Source organism: Homo sapiens, chromosome 15 (genome assembly GCF_000001405.40).
Source record: "Homo sapiens chromosome 15, GRCh38.p14 Primary Assembly".
Classification (NCBI taxonomy): Eukaryota; Metazoa; Chordata; class Mammalia; order Primates; family Hominidae; genus Homo; species Homo sapiens.
Window position 1 is genome coordinate 69,228,163 of NC_000015.10, and position 18,418 is coordinate 69,246,580.

Genomic DNA, 18,418 nt, shown 5'->3' on the forward strand with positions numbered 1-18,418 from the left:
TATCTTCTTTGTATTTTATAGCACTGTGAGGAACTATAAGTTGTCAAAACCAGTATGTATGGATTGAAGAGTGACAGAAAGGGTAAATATATAGATGAACTATATTAATTGTATCAGACAATTTTTATGAGCTCTAAAATGTATGTGGAATTAAAACTCATGATATCAGCAACTCAAAAAGTGGGAAGGGTATACATAAAGTGTTTTAAGGTCTTAGAGTTAGCTATAAAGTGATAGAAGTACTGATTTGTATTAGACTGTAATTAGCAAGGATGGTTTTAATCATTAGGGTAACCATGATTGAAACAGTAAAAGAATTATTAGCTGGCAAAAGAAATTGAATAATGAAAACTACTTGATAAAATCAAAAGAAGGCAAGAGAGAAGAGAAAGAATATAAAACAGGTTAATTGGAAGAAACAAACAATAGGCTAATGGATAAAATTTAAAATATATTAATGACATCAAATGTAAATGGTTTAAATATTCTAGTAAAAGACAAATTTGTTTGAAAAATTTGGAAGACTAAATTTCTTTCTTTTTCTTTTGAGTCAGAGTCTTGCTGTGTTACCCTGGCTGGAGTGGCACGATCTCGGCTCCCTGCAACCTCTGCCTCCTTGGCTCAAGCAATCCTCCCACCTCAGCCTCCCAAGTAGCTGGGACTACAGATGCATGCCACCACACCTAGCTAATTTTCTTTATTTTTTGTAGAGACAGAGTTTTGCCATGTTGCCCAGGCTGGTCTCAAACTCCTGAGCTCAAACGATTTGCCCACCTTGGCTTCCCAAAGTGCTGGGATTATAAATTTCTTTAAAACCAAAATATATTTCATTTTCAAGGGATACATGTTACATATAAGAACACAAAAAGGTTGAAACTAAAAGGATTAAAATATACCATGCAAATGCTAATCAAAGGAAAGCTGATGAAGCTATGCTAATATCAGGCAAAGTAGACATTAAGGCAAAAAGCAATACTAGACGTAAAGAAGGTCATTTCATAATAATATAAAAGGTCCATACACTGGAAAGACATAATAATTCTAAATTCATGTGAACTTAATAATTTGGCTTTAAAGAAATAAAGCAAAATATGACAGAGCTAAAATGAGTATGGCCACAAATTTCATTTCTCTAGAAGCTAAACCAGAGAGTCTAGCTGTGTGATTTAGAACAAATGAAGTGAGCCCACAATGTTTCCAGGCCATAGCACAGGAAGAGGGAACCCAAACAGCTCAGGAATTACAAAGGTTTGAGTTTGGGTTCAGAGATGACAAGGAATGAAAATTATATCAGATGGAAATTTGCATCTACAAAAATAAATGAAGAGCCCTGGAAATGGTGAGTGTATATGAATGGATATAAAAGTCTTTTTTTCTCTCATTTAAGAAACTTTTTTCTTAAAGATAATTGCTTAAAACAAGAATAATAATATGTTATGGAATTTTTCACATAAGTAGAGGTTTTTTTGTTTTTTTAAAGCAGTATAGTTAATATACCAGTAGTGGAGATAAAATGGAATTATGAAAATTACTTACCCAACAATGACAAAAAGAAAAAAAAATGACAAAGATGAGACATAGTAAACCAATAGCTAGATAGCAGATATATACCCAATCATAGCAATAATCACATTAAATGTAAATGGTCTAAATACCATTAAAAAATGGAGATTATCTAATTTGATTTAAAAAAAAATTTCATTTACATATTGTCTACAAAAACTCACATTGAATATAAAAACACAGGTTAATAGTAAACAGCTGAGGCTGGGTGCGGTGGCTCATGTATGTAATTCCAGCACTTTGGGAGGCAGAGGAGGGTGGATCACTTGAGGTCAGGAGGTTGAGACTAGCCTGGCCAACATGGTGAAACCCCATCTTTACGAAAAATTAAAATTAGCTGGGCATGGTGGCGGGCACCTGTAATCCCAGCTACTCAGGAGGTTGAGGCAGGAGAATCGCTTGAACCCAGAAGGCAGAGGTTACAGTGAGCCAAGATCGCGCCATTGTACTCCAGCCTGGGTGACAGAGAGAAACTCCATCTCGATTTAAAAAAAAAAAAAAACGAAAAGTAAACAGATGAAAAAAGATATACCGTGTAGACACTAATAAAAAGAAAACAGGAGTTCCACAATTAGTATCAGATAAAGTAGATTTTAGAGCAAGAAGTATGAAGGACATTTGATAATATAAAAGGGGTCAGTTTACCAAGAGTATATAGTGATCTTAAACATGTAGGCCCCTAATAATGGAGCATTAAAATAGATGAAGGAAAATTAATAGAATTCAAAGGAGAAATAGACAAATATACAATTATAGTTGGGGTCTGCAACATTATTTCTCAATAATTGATTCAGTTGAACTGTAGTCTACCACAAGAGGCATGATTTATCCTTGTTACATTAGTTTTAATGTTTCCATTCTAATTGGGAGTTGCTCTCTCATTAGCCAAAAGATTATTCCTGCTAACCCTGATTATCAAAGTAGTGTTAAAGTGCACATTCTATTCTAAGTGTCAACAACCAGAGATCAGTAAAAATAGCAAATACTTATTGGGGCTTACTAATTTCTAGATGTATTTGTGTCCTGTTGTTATTATAGCAAATTACCACAACCTTAGTTGCTTATAACAACACAGATTTATTTTACAGTTCTGGAGATCAGAAGTTCAAAATGCATATCACTGGGCTAAAATCAAGGGGCCAGTAGGATTATGTTCCTTCTGGAAGCTGTAGTGGGGATCTTTTCCTTGCATTTTCTAACTCCTAGAGGCTGTCTGTATTCCTTGGCTCATGGCTCCCTTCTAAAGAAGTAAAAAGGCCTGTATTTCAGATGGAATACTTGATCTGTGTAATCCATCAAGTAGATAAAACCACTTTTTTGGTTTATTGAAACAAGACCATGAAAGTAAAGTTTTGAAAAAGAAAACAAATTTTCAATTCGAATCCCCTTTGCAATTCTGATGACAGTTTTTCTCCTGGTGCTCTGCTTAGGTATGGGTAAGCAGGGGTGAGACAGATTTTATTATACTTTAGACTTTTGAAGACAAAATATCTAATTTTACCAAGTTTTTATGAGCAGCCAGAGATTTTGCCTTTGCTACCTAGTGTTTTTTGTCCAGTCATTTTTTTTTTTTTTTGAGATGGAGTCTCGCTCTGTCGCCCAGGCTGGAGTGCAGTGGCCTGATCTTGCCTCACTGTAAACTCCACCTCCCGGGTTCACGCCATTCTCCTGCCTCAGCCTCCCAAGTTGCTGGGACTACAGGCGCCCGCCACCATGCCCGGCTAATTTTTTGTTGTTTTAGTAGAGATGGGGTTTCACCATGTTAGCCAGGATGGTCTCGATTTCCTGATCTCGTGATCCGCCTGCCTCAGCCTCCCAAAGTGCTGGGATTACAGGCGTGAGCCACCCAGCCTTGTCCAGTCATTCTTAAAAATCACATGTTAAGTGAGTTGATGGACTATTCGCTGAGCACTTGGCAACATCCTCAGCAAATGCCCTCATTTCATTTTGTTGTTGTTGTTTGTTCTCTAGATCTTAAAGGACTTTTTGATATTTTTATATATGCCTATGAGCTTTTCCCATTTAGGATATACATGTGATTCAGATATCTATCTATCTTTTTTGTTTTGTTTTGTTTTTTCTGAGACGGAGTATTTCCCTGTCACTACTCAGGCTGGAGTGCAATGGCATGATCTCTGCTCACTGCAGCCTCTGCCTCTTGGGTTCAAGCAATTCTCCTGCCTGAGCCTCCCAAGCAGCTGGGATTACAGGTACACACCACCACGCCTGGCTAATTTTTATATTTTTAGTAGAGACAGGGTTTCACCATATTGGCCAGGCTGGTCTCGAACTCCTAACCTTGTGATCCATCTGCCTCGGCCTCCCAAAGTGCTGGGATTACAGGCCCAAGCCACCACCCCGGCCTCAGATTTTTATATATACGTTTGGATGGAGTAAAGTAGGCTATTGTCTGAGTAATTACCATTTCCTTTTATTTGCAAGAAAATAACAATTTTAATTATTTGAGAATGGACAACTTCCTGTGTCTGGTATGTTAACGAGTGAATCTATAGTGTCAGTCTGGTAGGAGAGTATGGTAGAATAGTCATTAATGTCTTTCTAACATATAGTGCTGATCTAGGACTAATTTATGTTCTTAGTAATCAGTGATACTTTCAAGCAATGGCTCCTGAGATACATATTGTGTTATATTACGAAATGTCTTCCTAGGAACAGAAGTCTTGATTAGTCACTTGGTTTTATGGGATTGATATGACTACATGAATCGTGTGTGTGTGTGTATGTATGTATATTAATATGTCCGTATGTTCTTACTCCTGAGTTATTTGTCATGAAAATAGAAATGATTGAGTTATGCCTTTATTTTGCCAGTTGTCTAAAATATTTCAAGTACTTTTTAAAAAATTGATGTGTTGCTTTCTAGCTTTTATTGTTACAGAGCTTGGAACCATTATACTTCCTAAACTAGCTGCGGCTTCTTACAGGGAAAAAATAAGTGTTTAGAATAGCAGAGTAGAATTTGAGGGGGGAATTATATTCACATAATTTGTTTATATGTATACTAGAAACAATTAGACAATTAAATAGAAAACAAGGGGGAAAAATCTATTCACACATGGCTTCTTCTCTCAAGGAGTTTATTTTTTGACATAAATGCAGCAGCAAGGACCTGTAAGACATTTATCCTTGAGAGTAAGCTTTTGATTAGTCCAATGTCATAGACTAAATGAGAGTATTTCTGTTTGGGTGGAGAATATGCTTTTTCGGGAGGAGCAGCAGACAGTAGGAAAGGAGCCAAGAATACACAATTGAGAAACAGTTTTCTAACAGTGTAAGATGACTTACTTAACATTGATTATTAAAGATTGTAGAATATTCATATTTGGGCATTTTAGGATAGTTTCTCATTTTCCCAGAAAGGCTGAAAGAGGGCATACTGGCTTAAAATTTCATAGTCATCTTAAGGGGTTCCTTTCAGAAAAGTATGTTCAAGCTGGACATATTTAACTTTTGGGTGCTCTATAACCTCTAAGGATTTAGGTGTAAAGTATGTGAAAAACATGTAAAAGATTCCATAAAGCCCCCAAAAGTCTTGAAGTTTGACCTCCTCAGTCACTTCTTGTGACTAACATGGAGAAAAGAGAAATCAAAATTTTATTGACTTTATGTTTGTTTTTAGTTTATAAATTCCCCTTGTTTTATCTCTACATTCAGGCTCTATAAATTTATACCAAGAAACTGCTAGAAAAATTACATTTTAAGTCAAGAAATAGACATCAATAACATACTTGAATGCTTTCTCCCTCCCAACCCCAGGCACTAGTAATGGGGGGAAACATTGATGTCATATGAGTCTTCAAATTCAGTATATGTTAAACTTCTGTTTAAAGTCACTTTGCTTCCTAGAGGTGGAGTTTCAGCACTAAGGAAAAAGAACAGTCTCTATCCTTATTACATATGTGCATTGTAGGGTATGATAAGAAGCTCAGTTTATAACCCAGGTACCCTATTAGACTGTTTAGGGACCATAGCTACTTTGTGGTTGGCTTAATAGAGAAGGAAAGATTTGTATAACATCTTAATTTCTTAATCAACATTTGCCACAATTTGAAACCTAGAGTTTATTATGATGTGTGAGTAATAATTTAAATTCTGTCTTAAGGAAGCAATTTTTAAAACATGAAGCAGTGTGTAGGCTACACAGTACAGCTTGTTGCAGGAAGAAAACTCATACATACATACATATGAAATATATGTGATGCACATATACATACATATATGGAGAAGATTTTTTTGTTTTTTTTTTTTGAGACAGAGTTTCGCTCTTGTTGCCCAGGCTGGAGTGCAATGGCGTGATCTGAGCTCACTGCAACCTCCGCCTCCTGGGTTCAAGCGATTCTCCTGCCTCAACCTCCCCAGTAGCTGGCAGTACAGGCACACGCCACTACACCCGGCTAATTTTTTTATTTTTAGTAGAGAGGAGGTTTCACCATGTTGGCCAGACTGGTCTCAAACTCCTGACCTCAGGTAATCCGCCCGCCTCAGCCTCCCAAAGTGCTGGGATTACAGGCATTGAGCCATTGCTCCCGGCCAGAAGATTATTTTTTTTTAATTTTTTTGACCTTATTTTTTCTGGGGCCACCGTTCACACAGCTGAGGTGGGGATGCCGCCCCATAGAAGATGATTTTGATTTGGGAAGAAAGACAGAAAGTATAATTTTCTCCTTGCCAAATATTTGTAATTCAGGTTTTACCTTTGTAAATAATCCTAGTGCCAAGATTTTAGGTTATTTATATAAATGTCAGTGAAAACTTAGTTTCAACCCTTAGAAAATGTATTGATATATATATATGGAATATATTTATATGCCTTAAGAAATAATCTTAGGTAAAATTTCATTTCTGCTTCACCACCTTATTTTTTTAGGTAAATGCTGTTTCTGTGCTGCAAGTTACATTCACCTCAAATTTAAAAACCAACAGAAAGTATCTACACCCTTTGATCAGCATGAAGTAAGGTCTTAAGCAGGAGGTTAATGAAAGGTCTTGCAGTGCTGAAGTTAATTCAATTTGGTAACCTTCTTATTTGCTTAGAAAATTGTGCAGCTGGGAAATCTTAGTTTAAATCTTATTTAATTCACATTTATTGCTGATAAAATTTATGTTGCCTACCAATATATCATTCTGTGGAAAGCCAGATTGTATTTGTTTCTTGATTGCTATTCTTATCAACTTTTATGAGATAATAAAAATTACAGAAGCTTAGAGAAAGGTGATTTTTTTCAGGGGAATATGTACTCTGGTTTTACTGATTGCTTATTTGGGAAAATGCTAACATACCTTATAACAGATGTTTAACAAATATTTGTTGATTAAATGAACTGATACAGATAGATGAAGATTATTCTTTTTTTTTTTTTTTTTTTTTTTTTTTTTTTTGAGATAGAGTCTCGCTTTGTCACCCAGGCTGGAGTGCAGTGGCACGATCTCAGCTTACTGCAACCTCTGCCTCCTGGGTTCAAGCGATTCTCCTGCCTCAGCCTCACAAGTAGCTGGGATTACAGGCTTATGCCACCACACCCTCCTAATTTTTGTATTTTTAGTAGAGACGAGGTTTCGCCATGTTGGCCAGGCTAGTCTCAAACTCCTGACCTCATGTGATCTGCCCACCTCAGCCTCCCAAAGTGCTGGGATTACAGGTATGAGTCACTGTGCCCGGCCTGAAGATTATTATTTTTCTAATTGACTTAGATATCACTTCATCCATAAACATTTTCCTTTGTTTGCCTATTATGAGTGCCTACTGTGTGGTAGGCACTAAATTAAGTGTTCACTTAATCTTAAAACTACTTTATAAAGCAGAAAGTATGATATCAGCTTAACAGATGAGGAAACCGAAGTTTGGAAAGGTCAACTAACTTGTCCAAGATTGTCAAGCTTACCAGGATTCAAATTTAGGCCTATCAGACTAAAAAGCTCAGGTTGTCCCAAAAATATACCTTCTCACTTTGTTTGTATGACCTATTTAATTAGTTTCTTCTATATTTTCATAGCATTTATTACTCAAAAACAAAACTATAGAAACCCATTATAGATTAATTTTACTAAGGTATAGTTTACATAAAATAAAATGTGCCCCTTTAAAATTTATAGTTGGATGAGTTTTGTCGGATGAATACAGTCATTTAACTACCAGCACAACAATCAAAATCTAGAACATTTCCATCGTCCTCAAAAGCCCCTCATCTATGTCCCATTATAAGTCACTCCCTTCCTGCCACTGCTGATTAACTTTTATCCCTATGATTTTCTTTTTCCAGAATGTCACATAAATGAAATTATATAGTAAGTACACTTTTGTGTCTGACTTCTTTCACGTAGTGAAATGCTTTTGAGATTCATCTATGTTGTGGCAGGTTATCAGTATCAGTGCATTGCTGTGTTGTGTTCCATTGTATGGATGAACCACAGTTTATCCAGTCACCATTTGGTGGACATTTGGGTTGTTTCCAGCTTGGAATTATCATTAATAAACTGCTGTAACCATACATGTTCATAACCTGTTTAGTTTTAAAATTTCTGGATTATTATGGCATTCTCTGGAGTCATATGGCCTTCTAACGAGTTCATAGATTCCTTAGTTTTAGATATGAGATACATCATTGAAGGCTGTGAGCCCTTTGTTAGAAATTGGAGATGAATTTGTTGATTGCTTTCAAAATTTGGAGATGACATTTGAGACACGCCTTTTAAAAAAATTAGCATGTAGTAGTAGTAGTAGGAAATAAATGACATAAAAAGTGCAGGGAAATGTAGTATAATGGCAAACACTGGACTAAGATAAATTTGGGTTCTGAGCCTATAATCTGGTTTCATTTTCCAGCTGTATCTCTTAAGAGATTTTGGACAAGTTGAGACTTGAAAAAACTAGTAACCGCTCTAAAAGAAAAATGGAACTTACATTTCCACATTCTTGAGTATATACACGTATCTCATTTAGTTCTCAAGACACCTGTGAGGTACCTGTGAGCTAGATAGTACTAGTGCTAGTGTACTAATGAGAAAACCGTGATTCAGAGAAGTGAAATAACTGGCAGTGGAAGAAAAGCTAGTAAGTGATTGAGTCAACAGTTGACTCTATATCAGTTTCCTTATCTGAAAAACGAAGGTAATACCACTTTGTAGTTATGAGAATTAAGTGGGATTACATTAATAAGGACTCAAAACTGCTGCTAGTCTCTTCCTCTACCCCCCTTTTTATAAAGGTCCCCACTTCCCAGTCTCTTGACCTGCCATTCTGTTAACTATTAATTAATAAGAGAAATTTATAATATGGATATTACTCTTATGTATCTTTAAAATTGCAAAAGATTATGCAGTGTCTGAAGGCTGTATATTAAATGTTTCTTTTTATCATAAACATTAGAAAAAACATTACTTCAAATTGCAAGTAGAATTTGCAGTATTGTTTATTCTACCAGATTATCCTTACATGTTTCCATTAGCGTATTCTCACAATCATTTTTTCTGATATCATGCTTTCTGCATTGCTTTGTGAAGTAGCTCAAAACTGCATTCTATATAAAAAAATTATCCTAATAATAACTCATTTAAAAACCAATTTGGGGCTGGGTGCGGTGGCTCATGCCTGTAATCCCAGCACTTTGGGAGGCCAAGGCAGGTGGATCACCTGAGGTCAGGAGTTCAAGACCAGCCTGGCCAACATGGTTAAACCCCGTCTCTACTAAAAGTACAAAAAAAATCAGCCAAGCATGGTGGCGCACACCTGTAATCCCAGCTACTTGTGAGGCTGAGGCAGGAGAATCGCTTGAACCCAGGAGGCAGAGGTTGCAGTGAGCCGAGAATGTGCCACTGCACTCCAGCCCAGGTGACTGACAAGACTCTGTCTCCAAAAAAATTAAAAAAAAAAAATTGGGTACTGATTTCTTCCACATATAATTTCTTCTGCATAGCTAATACTCTGTATCTTATGATTTTTAAAATTACTATAAGCAGGCTTCTTGATGAACCTTTCTCCTTTAGACATTCCAGTTTGCAGGATGGCGCCAAACTTGGTAAAAGATGTTTCATAAAAACTTATTGTCAACAACTATTCTATAGAACCTGTGTTTGAACCATGCAGAGTAAACACATCATTAAGTTTTCTTTTTCTTGGCTTTCCTAATGAGTGGAGAAATCTTAACACAGCTGGAGAAGCCTGAAACTCCTTTCTGAGCTGATTTATTTACATAGCATATGCTTAGTTTGACACATTGCTTAGAAGCAAGCAGAGAGCTTTTAAAGTTAAGTGCTATACAGTACTTCAAAGAACATTTTAGCTACACTGTAATTGTTCAGCTTTTCTGGATACAAAGCATCTCTTTGCTGTTAAAAAAACATTCCTGTCTCACTTTTTTATGTTATGGCTTTCAATGCTAGAGAAAAGTAAGCTGAATGTATTTAAAAGCTCTTTTTAAAAACATATTTTAGTTTCAGAAGCTGACGCATAATGCTAGTAGTTTAAGATTGTGTCTGCACAACCAAGGGTAAATCTTTCTGCTCTTATCTAGTTGGTGTGAAAGTATATGGTGACTTGGAGCCATAATATGATACTATGATGTAAAGAACTTACACTTCAAAGCCAGATTAAATCTAGGTTTAAATCCCACTATGTGCTCACTAATAATTTTTCTTCAGCAAAGTTAAGAACTACTCAGTTTCTTCAACCATATGTGGGTGATAAAAAAAAAATCTTCTTAGGGTTTGATTTCAATAACCGAAAGTATATCTAATGCTTAGCATATATGGTAAAACTACTCGTTAAACCTTTCCTTTTTCTGTGACCTTCCCCACCCTCCCAAAAAGGAACAACTTCCTTTCTCATTGAAATGAATATTTTTTTAGCCTAAATATGTTTTATTAAGGTTTGAGGATAAATGAGAGTAGCAGGGTTGACCTACTTATGGAGTGCTGATGATGATTTTCATTCAGCACAAGCTCTGGATTGTGGAAAGAATAGGTTGCCATACAGGTAACAAAACCCAATAGAATAGTTTGAAAATGAACATACATAATTATAAACATGGCGACAAAATACATGCCTTCAGTGTGTCTGAATAAGGCATGTTTGAGTGGAATGCCTGAATAGGCATTGATAGAGGGAAATATATATATAAATAAAAAATGCCCTGCATCTTCAAGGAATTCAATCTAGAGAAAAATACCCACAGATTCATAATTACTTGCAAACCAGACTTGAAGAATTTGTGTAATTGAGATATAGTAAAGGGCGACATGGGGAGAGAGTGATTAATTTGTACATTGAGAAACTTTCTGGTGAGATGGTATGACAGAGACTGTGGGTTTCCTCCCAGGGTCTGTTTTCTCCTTAATAATAGAACCCGGTTTTTTCCACTTGGCATGTGGCTGCCTAGAACAGAGGTGCCTCCTAGCTTCCCTTGCAGCTAGAGGTGGCCATGTGACTAAGATTTGACTAATGAAATGTTGGAAATGTGTGAAGCTTGAGGAAAGTCTCATTAGTTTGAATTAGTTCTACTGAGAGATGTGCTGTTTTGCCCTTCTGCCTTTCTTTTTCTTTCTGGGATACAACACAGACATGATGGCTGAGGCTTCAGTAGCTTTCTTAGGGCATAAGGTGATGTAGAAAGATAGAAAGCACCTAGGTCCTTGATGAGCACATAGCTGCATATATGCTCCAGACTGCCTATTTCTAGATATATTTTATATGAGTGAAAACCCAAGCTGGAACATAAGATGGTTTATTTCTGGTGTCTGTTACTAATAGCAAAACCTGTTCCTCACAGGTACAGATAGCAGTGTGGTACAAGCATCTGACTCCCTCTAACCCCACATCTAGTTACCACTGAAATGACTATAAATATATCTAAATAGAGTGTACCAGCATTGAAAACACCAAAAAGGAAGTGTTCACATACCTGAAATACCAACATCCCAAGAAAAAGAAATAACTGCAGTAGGTTGAAATGTATCAAATATGTTAAAAATCTGTGAGTTCATATGTTACTTTTTTTTAAAGCTCCTTATGTTTGGGGACTAGGGAGCCAATTCATTATTTTGAAAATTGATAAAGATTTAATCATTAATTCTGCCCTTCCCATACAAACTGTATATCTCAGGGTAACCAAGTAGTTGGCAAGAGCAAGATTTTCTTTATAGAAATATTTTAACTATACATTAAGAAGGTCTGATAGAATATCACCCATTTTGCAACTTTTAATGAAACAATCATCAGTGATTGCTAAAAGTAATATTGGGTGAACTGCTAAAGGATAACTTTATAATGGCTTTCCTCTTGTTTTTGGGCTACAACACAGACATGGCTGAGGCTTTAGTAGCTTTCTTGGGTCATATAATGGCTTTATAATGGATTAGGCTGAAAATAGGGATTAATCTTAACATCATAAAAAGAGAGACAGTTGAACATTATATACTTCCTGATGAAGGTTCACATCTCTATCATGAAGTATCCTTGTGAAAAATCAAACCCTACTTTTATCAAACCGCCGAGATCCCGCCACTGCACTCCAGCCTGGGCGACAGAGCGAGACTCCGTCTCAAAAAAAAAAAAAAAAAAAAAAAAAAAGAAAAGAAATATTGAGGAGACAGACTCTGAAATAAGATTCTGCAACCTTAAAAATACAGGAATGTTGCACTCAACACCAGGGCAAAAGCACATACTCTTGATATAAAAGGTTACTTCTGTAACAAGAAAATTGTAGAAAACATTTTTTTATGCTTGTAGATTTTTTAAATTGTGGAGTCTTTGGAGTGAGATGTAGAAAATAAGTTCATAAGGCAGCAGGTGGGGATGAAAGTGGGGGCTAGCTAACGGGGAGGCATACATTAAAAGGGTGTTGGATATTAATAAGTACGGCCTATAGGATGGAAACTAAAAAATGCAATATCCGAATAAGAAACAATAAAATAGAAACTAAATAGGCAGTATATAGATTAAACTGTACCAGAAGCAACAGAGAGTGGATTAGAAAATTGTATTAGTGATGCAGACTACAAATTTGAGAAGCTCTCCCAAAATGCAGAGGAAAAGGGGGAGAAGAGATGAAAAAAGAAAATTTGAAGAAAAAGATGATTGACATAAAGGATAGAGTACAGAGATCCAATATATACAATTGACATTTTGGAAGAGACCAGAACAAATTCAACAGGAACAATTATTAAACACACAATGGGATAAAAACTTTTCTGAGATGAAGGATGACCTGAGCCTGCAATTCGAGCAGGCTTGTTGCCAAACACCAGGAAAAATTAATGAAAACAGCCTAACAACTAAAGCTATTCTGGCGAAACTTTGTACTTTCTCTTGTTAAAATCATCATCGTCGTCGTCATCATCATCATCATGATCATCAGGCATCCAGGAAGGGAGAAAAACAAGAAAACATACAAGTTGTTCACAAGGAAAGAAAAGATGGACTAGCTTTAGATTGATTGTTCTTATCATTAAACATCGGCTTGTTCTTGCCATTAAACAGTTGAGCAGTGTATACAGAGTTCTGTAGGCAATTTGGACCCTAAAATTCTTTATTCAGCCAAGTTGTTTGATGAAGAAGCAACACATATTTTCAATTCTGCAAGACTTCAAAATATATACCACCCACCTACCCTTCTAAAAGAATTATTTCAAAACATACTGTAGCTGAGAGATTCTGCAACATACAGGCAAAAGCCAAAACTTACAAATTTTTTCCAAGCATGACTTTAGGGCTTAGCTAACTCTTGAATCACTGCTTTGTAAATTGATTCAAGAGTTAACTAAAGTCATTCTCACTGGAGCACAAACTAATTATTCTGCAAAAATCAATATGCTAGTGACCCTAATTTTCAGAATTGCCTAAGATAGTTCTGAGTTTGGGCAGCATACGTATTTCCACTTGCACATAGTACCTACTTTATGCATATGGTATATTACAGTGGTTCTCAAAGTGTGATCTCCTGACCAGAAGCATAGGTTTCACCTGGAACTTGATAGAAAAGCAGGTTTTTAGGTCTCTACCTAGATTTAGTAAATCAGAAACTGTGGGGTTTGTGAACAGCAATCTGTGTTTGAACAAACCTTCTAGGTAATTCTAATGCCCAGTGAAATTTAGAGCCAGTTGTATTGGTTCTCAGACCAAATTAATCATCAGAATCACTTGTGTAAGACTTTGAAATGTCTTTTCCCCGTCCAGATGAGACTTAATTATCTGGATTTGGAAATCACTGGTCTGATAAAGCTTAGAACCAAAAGACCACCTTATCAATTTCTGAGCCTTAGTATTTTCTATTGTAAAATAGCACTCATTTTCCTGACCATTTCATTGGATTGTTGCAGAAATTAAATGAAGAAATGAATGTAAAAGTACTTTGCAGTGTAGATAAGGAAATCCATAGCTACAAGTTCATTATCCTGTGTTTGAAAAGGGCCTCACTTAATGGTTGTTAATATTCTCTTGGAGACCAGTATATACCATCTGTGTTGGGCTTCAGTGAAGTGTTCTCCCCATGCACCTCTTTCTAGTATCTTTCCCTTTCCTAACTAAACTACCTGCCACACTACTTTTTATTTGATTTTCAAATTCAATTATTATATTTATTTTACCACCTTTTCAATGTGGATTTTTTTCACTTGTTTTCTGTATGTTCAAGTCTTGTATCTTCAAGGTTCTAAGTTATTTGAGAGCGGAAATCGTTTCTATATATATTTTTATTTTCCTCAGTATCAGATGTTAAGCTAAGCTATGCATCTATATATCTATATACTATAGATATATAGTAATACTAAGTAAAATGCTTCATTCATTGAATTTAGTCTGTTCATTAGCTCATTGTCATTAACTGCTGTAGGAATTGATGAGGATTTTCTTTTTCTATTTGATTAATTTAGTGCTTTGATGCAAACAACTTTCCTTCTACTAGTATGAAAAAGTGGTTGGTCTGGAACCAGTCAACATCTGTACTTCTTAAAATTATTTTTTTAAAGGTTCATCATATTATTCTTTCTGCCTAGTTTATGGTTGCTGAAGTTAAGAAAACTGGAACTAGGTGTGGTAGCTCATGCCTGTAATCCCAGCACTTTGGGAAGCCGAGGCAGGGGGTGTTGCTTGAGTTCAGAAGTTCAAGACCAGTCTGGGAAACACAGTGAGACTTCATCTCTACTAAAAATAAAAATAAAAAATAAAAATTAGCCAAGCATGATGGTGTGCACCTGTAGTCCCAGCTACCCAGGAGGCTAAGGCAGAAGGATCACTTGAGCCCGAGAGATTGCAGCTACAGTGAGCTATGAGCATGGCACTGCACTCCAGCCTGGGTGACAGAGTGAGAGATCCTGTCCAAAAAAAAAAAAAAAAAAAGAAAGAAAGAAATGAAAAGAAAGGAGAAAGGAAAGAAAAAAAGAAAACTGGAATTGCTTTGGTGTCCTGTTAGGGGTAAGACTAAGATTTTCCTACAAAAGTATGTCAGGTAGGAGGCCCAGTAGGCTTAGAATATGAATTTCCACACCTGAGCTAATAGAAGCCACCAGGTGGTCTCAGGTCTCCTTATGAGTAAAGTGCAATAACCACGAATGTGTCTTCCCCCAACTTCTAGTTCTGTTCTGCATTTTTATTTATACATTATCTTTAAAGGCTAATAAAATTAGCTTTCCTTAGATGGTTCTCCTTTATCTCCATAGTGTTGAAATTTTTTATTTTTGTTTTGCTTTTTCGTTTCATAGCTTCAAAGCCGATTTATTGGCTCGGCTCAGTGGCTCACACCTGTAATCCCAGCACTTTGGGAGGCTAAAAGGATCACTTGAGCCCAGGAGTTCAAGACCAGGCTGGGTAACTAATGAGACCGCCCCCATCTCAAAAAAAAAAAAAGCCAATTTGTGTTGCATGACATGAGCAAATAGATTTGACCTTTGCTGTCACTGGTGATTTTCATTCTAAGGGTAATTACAATCTGTATTCAAGATTATATGTTCTTGCCAGAAATTAAACTAAGTAGAAAAAAAAAAGTTAAAGCTTTTTATTCCCCTTGACTTCTTGCCTTTTTTTATTATTATTTTTATTTTTGCTATGGCTAATAAAAAGTCATAGAATAAAATAATTTTTTTAAAAAAAAAGACAGGGTCTCAGGTCACCCAGGCTGGTCTCGAACTCCTGGCTTCAAGTCATCCTCCCACCTTGGTTTCCCAAAGTGCTGGGATGACAGGCGTGAGCCACCATGCCCAGCCCAAAAAATAGCTTTATCTTTAGATTCTTCTTTTTCACACCCTAATTTCTTGTACTGTTAGTTACTCACATATACTGCCACCTTGGGGCTTTTAGAACATGAGTACATTTTCAAAGCCTCACATTAACATGGGGAAGGTTTTGCTTCAACGAGCTATACCAGAATATCATAATAATTATGACAGAAATAAGGTATTATAATGCATTTGTAAGCTATTGCTGGATTTGTGGGGCCAGTGAGGATCCTGTTGTCAAGAGCTTAATTATTCTAAGCCACCTGGGGACCAGGTAGCTTTCTTAGAATAAAATACATAACATTCACAATCATGACTCTCATTTCTGTCCCTTTCTAATATTAATATGGCATTTAATTATACTGTTAGATTTAAAGAAAATTCAAAAATTTCAGTAGCTTCATTCAGAAATGCTAATACATTTTTAGAACAACTAGATAACTTTTCCTAAAATTATGTTTACCTGTGTGAACTGTTGATTTATGGTAAAATTAAACTTTAACCAAAACAAGACCTGTGAATGTCTGAATTCAGTTCGCAGTCTAGTAACCTGTTATAAGTTAAAATCTTCTGGGGAAGGGGAGTATTCAGCTTCTGAAATATAATATTTATATATCTGTTCTAAGATACCCTGTGACATATCAGAGCACAGCCTTTGGAGTCAGACTGAAAAACTGGAGTTAAAATACCATTCTTAATACTAGATATGTGAACCATCAAATAATCATGTGGCTTCAGGTAAATTACTTAACATCACAATGCCTTAGTTTCATCATCTGTAAGTAGGGAATGCACAAAATTTTTTTATCAGATTTAAGTTCTCGTCTTGGCTTTGTTCCTGTTCTTTTCCTTTAGTAAATCTTTTTGTGGGTCCTTATGCCTTAGTCTTTTCATCTATGAAATTCAAATAATATAATTTACTATAGGAATACATTGGAGATACTGCAGATTCAGTTCCAGACCACCATAATGTGAATATCACAATAAAGTGACTCACACACATTTTTTGGTTTCCCAGTGCTTATAAAAGTTATGTTTATTCTGTACTGTAGTCTGTTAAGTGTAGAATAGCATTATGTCTAAAAAATATACATACCTGGCCGGGTGCAGTGACTCACAGCTGTAATCCCAGCACTTTGGGAGGCCAAGGTGGGGAGGATCACTTGAGGTCAGGAGTTCAAGATCAGCCTGGCCAACGTGGTGAAACCCTTTCTCTACTAAAAATGCAAAAATTAGCCAGGCATGGTGGCATATGCCTGTAATCCCAGCTACTCAGGAGGCTGAGGCACAAGAATCGCTTGAACCCCGGAGTTAGAGGTTTCAGTGAGCCGAGATCACATCACTGCACTCCAGCCTGGGAGACAGAGCAAGACTCTGTCTCAAAAAAAAAAAAAAAAAAAAAGTACATACCTTAATTTAAAAATACTTCATTGCTTAAAAATTGTTAGAGATTATCTGAGCCTTTAGCAAGTCATAATCTTTTTACTGGTGGAGGGTCTTCCCTTGATGTTGATGGCTGCTAAATGCTCAGGGTGGTGGTTGCTGAAGATTGTGGTAGTGGTGGGAATTTCTTAAAATAAGACAACGATGAAGTTTGCCACATAGAATGAGTCTTCCTTTCATGAAAGATTTATCTGTATCATTCCATGCCATTTGATAGCATTTTATCCACAATAGAACTTCTTTCAAAATTGGAGTCAATCCTCCCAAACCCTGCTGTTGCTTTATTGACTAAGTTTATGTGATATTCCAAATCCTTTGTTGTCATTTCTTTTTCTTTTCTTTTTTGTTTTTTGAGACAGAGTCTCACTCTGTCATCTAGGCTGGAGTGCAGGGGCACCGTGTGAGCTCACTGCAACCTCCGTCTCCTGGGTTCAAGCAATTCTCCTGCCTCAGCCTCCCAAGTAGCTGGGATTACAGGTGCCCACCACCACGCCCGGCTAATTTTTATATTTTTAGTAGAGACAGGGTTTCACCACGTTGGCCAGGCTGCTCTCGAACTCCTTACCTCAGGTAATCTGCCCGCCTCGGCCTCCTAAAGTACTGGGTTTACAGGCGTGAGCCACCGCGCCCGGCCAGTCGTTTCAACAATGTTCATGGCATCTTCACCGGGTGTAGATTCCATCTCAAGAAACCACTTTCTTTGCTCATGCATGAGATTGCAGCAATTCAGCCCCCTCTTCAGACTCTACTTCTAATTCTGGTTCTCTTGCTGTTTTCACCACATCTGTAGTTACTTCCTCCACTGAAGTTTTGAACCCCTCAAAGTCATCCATGAAGGTGGGAATCAACTTACAAACTCTGTTCATGTTGATATTTTGACCTCCTCCCATGAGTCATGAATATTCTTAATGGCATCTAGAATGGTGGATCCTTTCCAGCAGGTTTTCAATTTATTTTACCTAGATCCATCAGAGGAATCACCATCTATGGCCAGCTATAGTGTTACAAAATGTATTTATTAAATACTAAGACCTGAAAGTTGGCTGGGTGTGGTGGCTCACACCTGTAATCCCAGCACTTTGGGAGGCTGAGGTGGGTGGATCACGAGTTCAGGAGTTTGAGACCAGCCTGGCCAACATAGTGAAACCCTGTCTCTACTAAAAATATAAAAATTAGCCAGCCATGG

General features: G+C 36.7%; 1 protein-coding gene across 11 annotated transcripts in view; it reads left to right on the plus strand.

The window, feature by feature from the left end:
• GLCE (glucuronic acid epimerase) overlaps positions 1 to 18,418 on the plus strand; it is a 111,573-nt gene that overhangs the window by 67,528 nt on the left and 25,627 nt on the right. For 2 of the 11 annotated variants that reach the window (XM_047432376.1, XM_047432380.1), the window contains exons 3-4: positions 22 to 82; positions 555 to 1,339. The exons of 7 other annotated variants lie outside the window; for them this stretch is intronic. In XM_047432376.1, the coding sequence (XP_047288332.1) occupies positions 1,269 to 1,339 (71 nt within the window). In that variant the 5' untranslated portion in view covers positions 22 to 82; positions 555 to 1,268. Of the gene's footprint in view, positions 1 to 21; positions 1,340 to 18,418 lie in introns of all 11 variants that reach the window. 2 more of the 11 variants (XM_047432377.1, XM_047432379.1) reach the window with 1 other exon arrangement.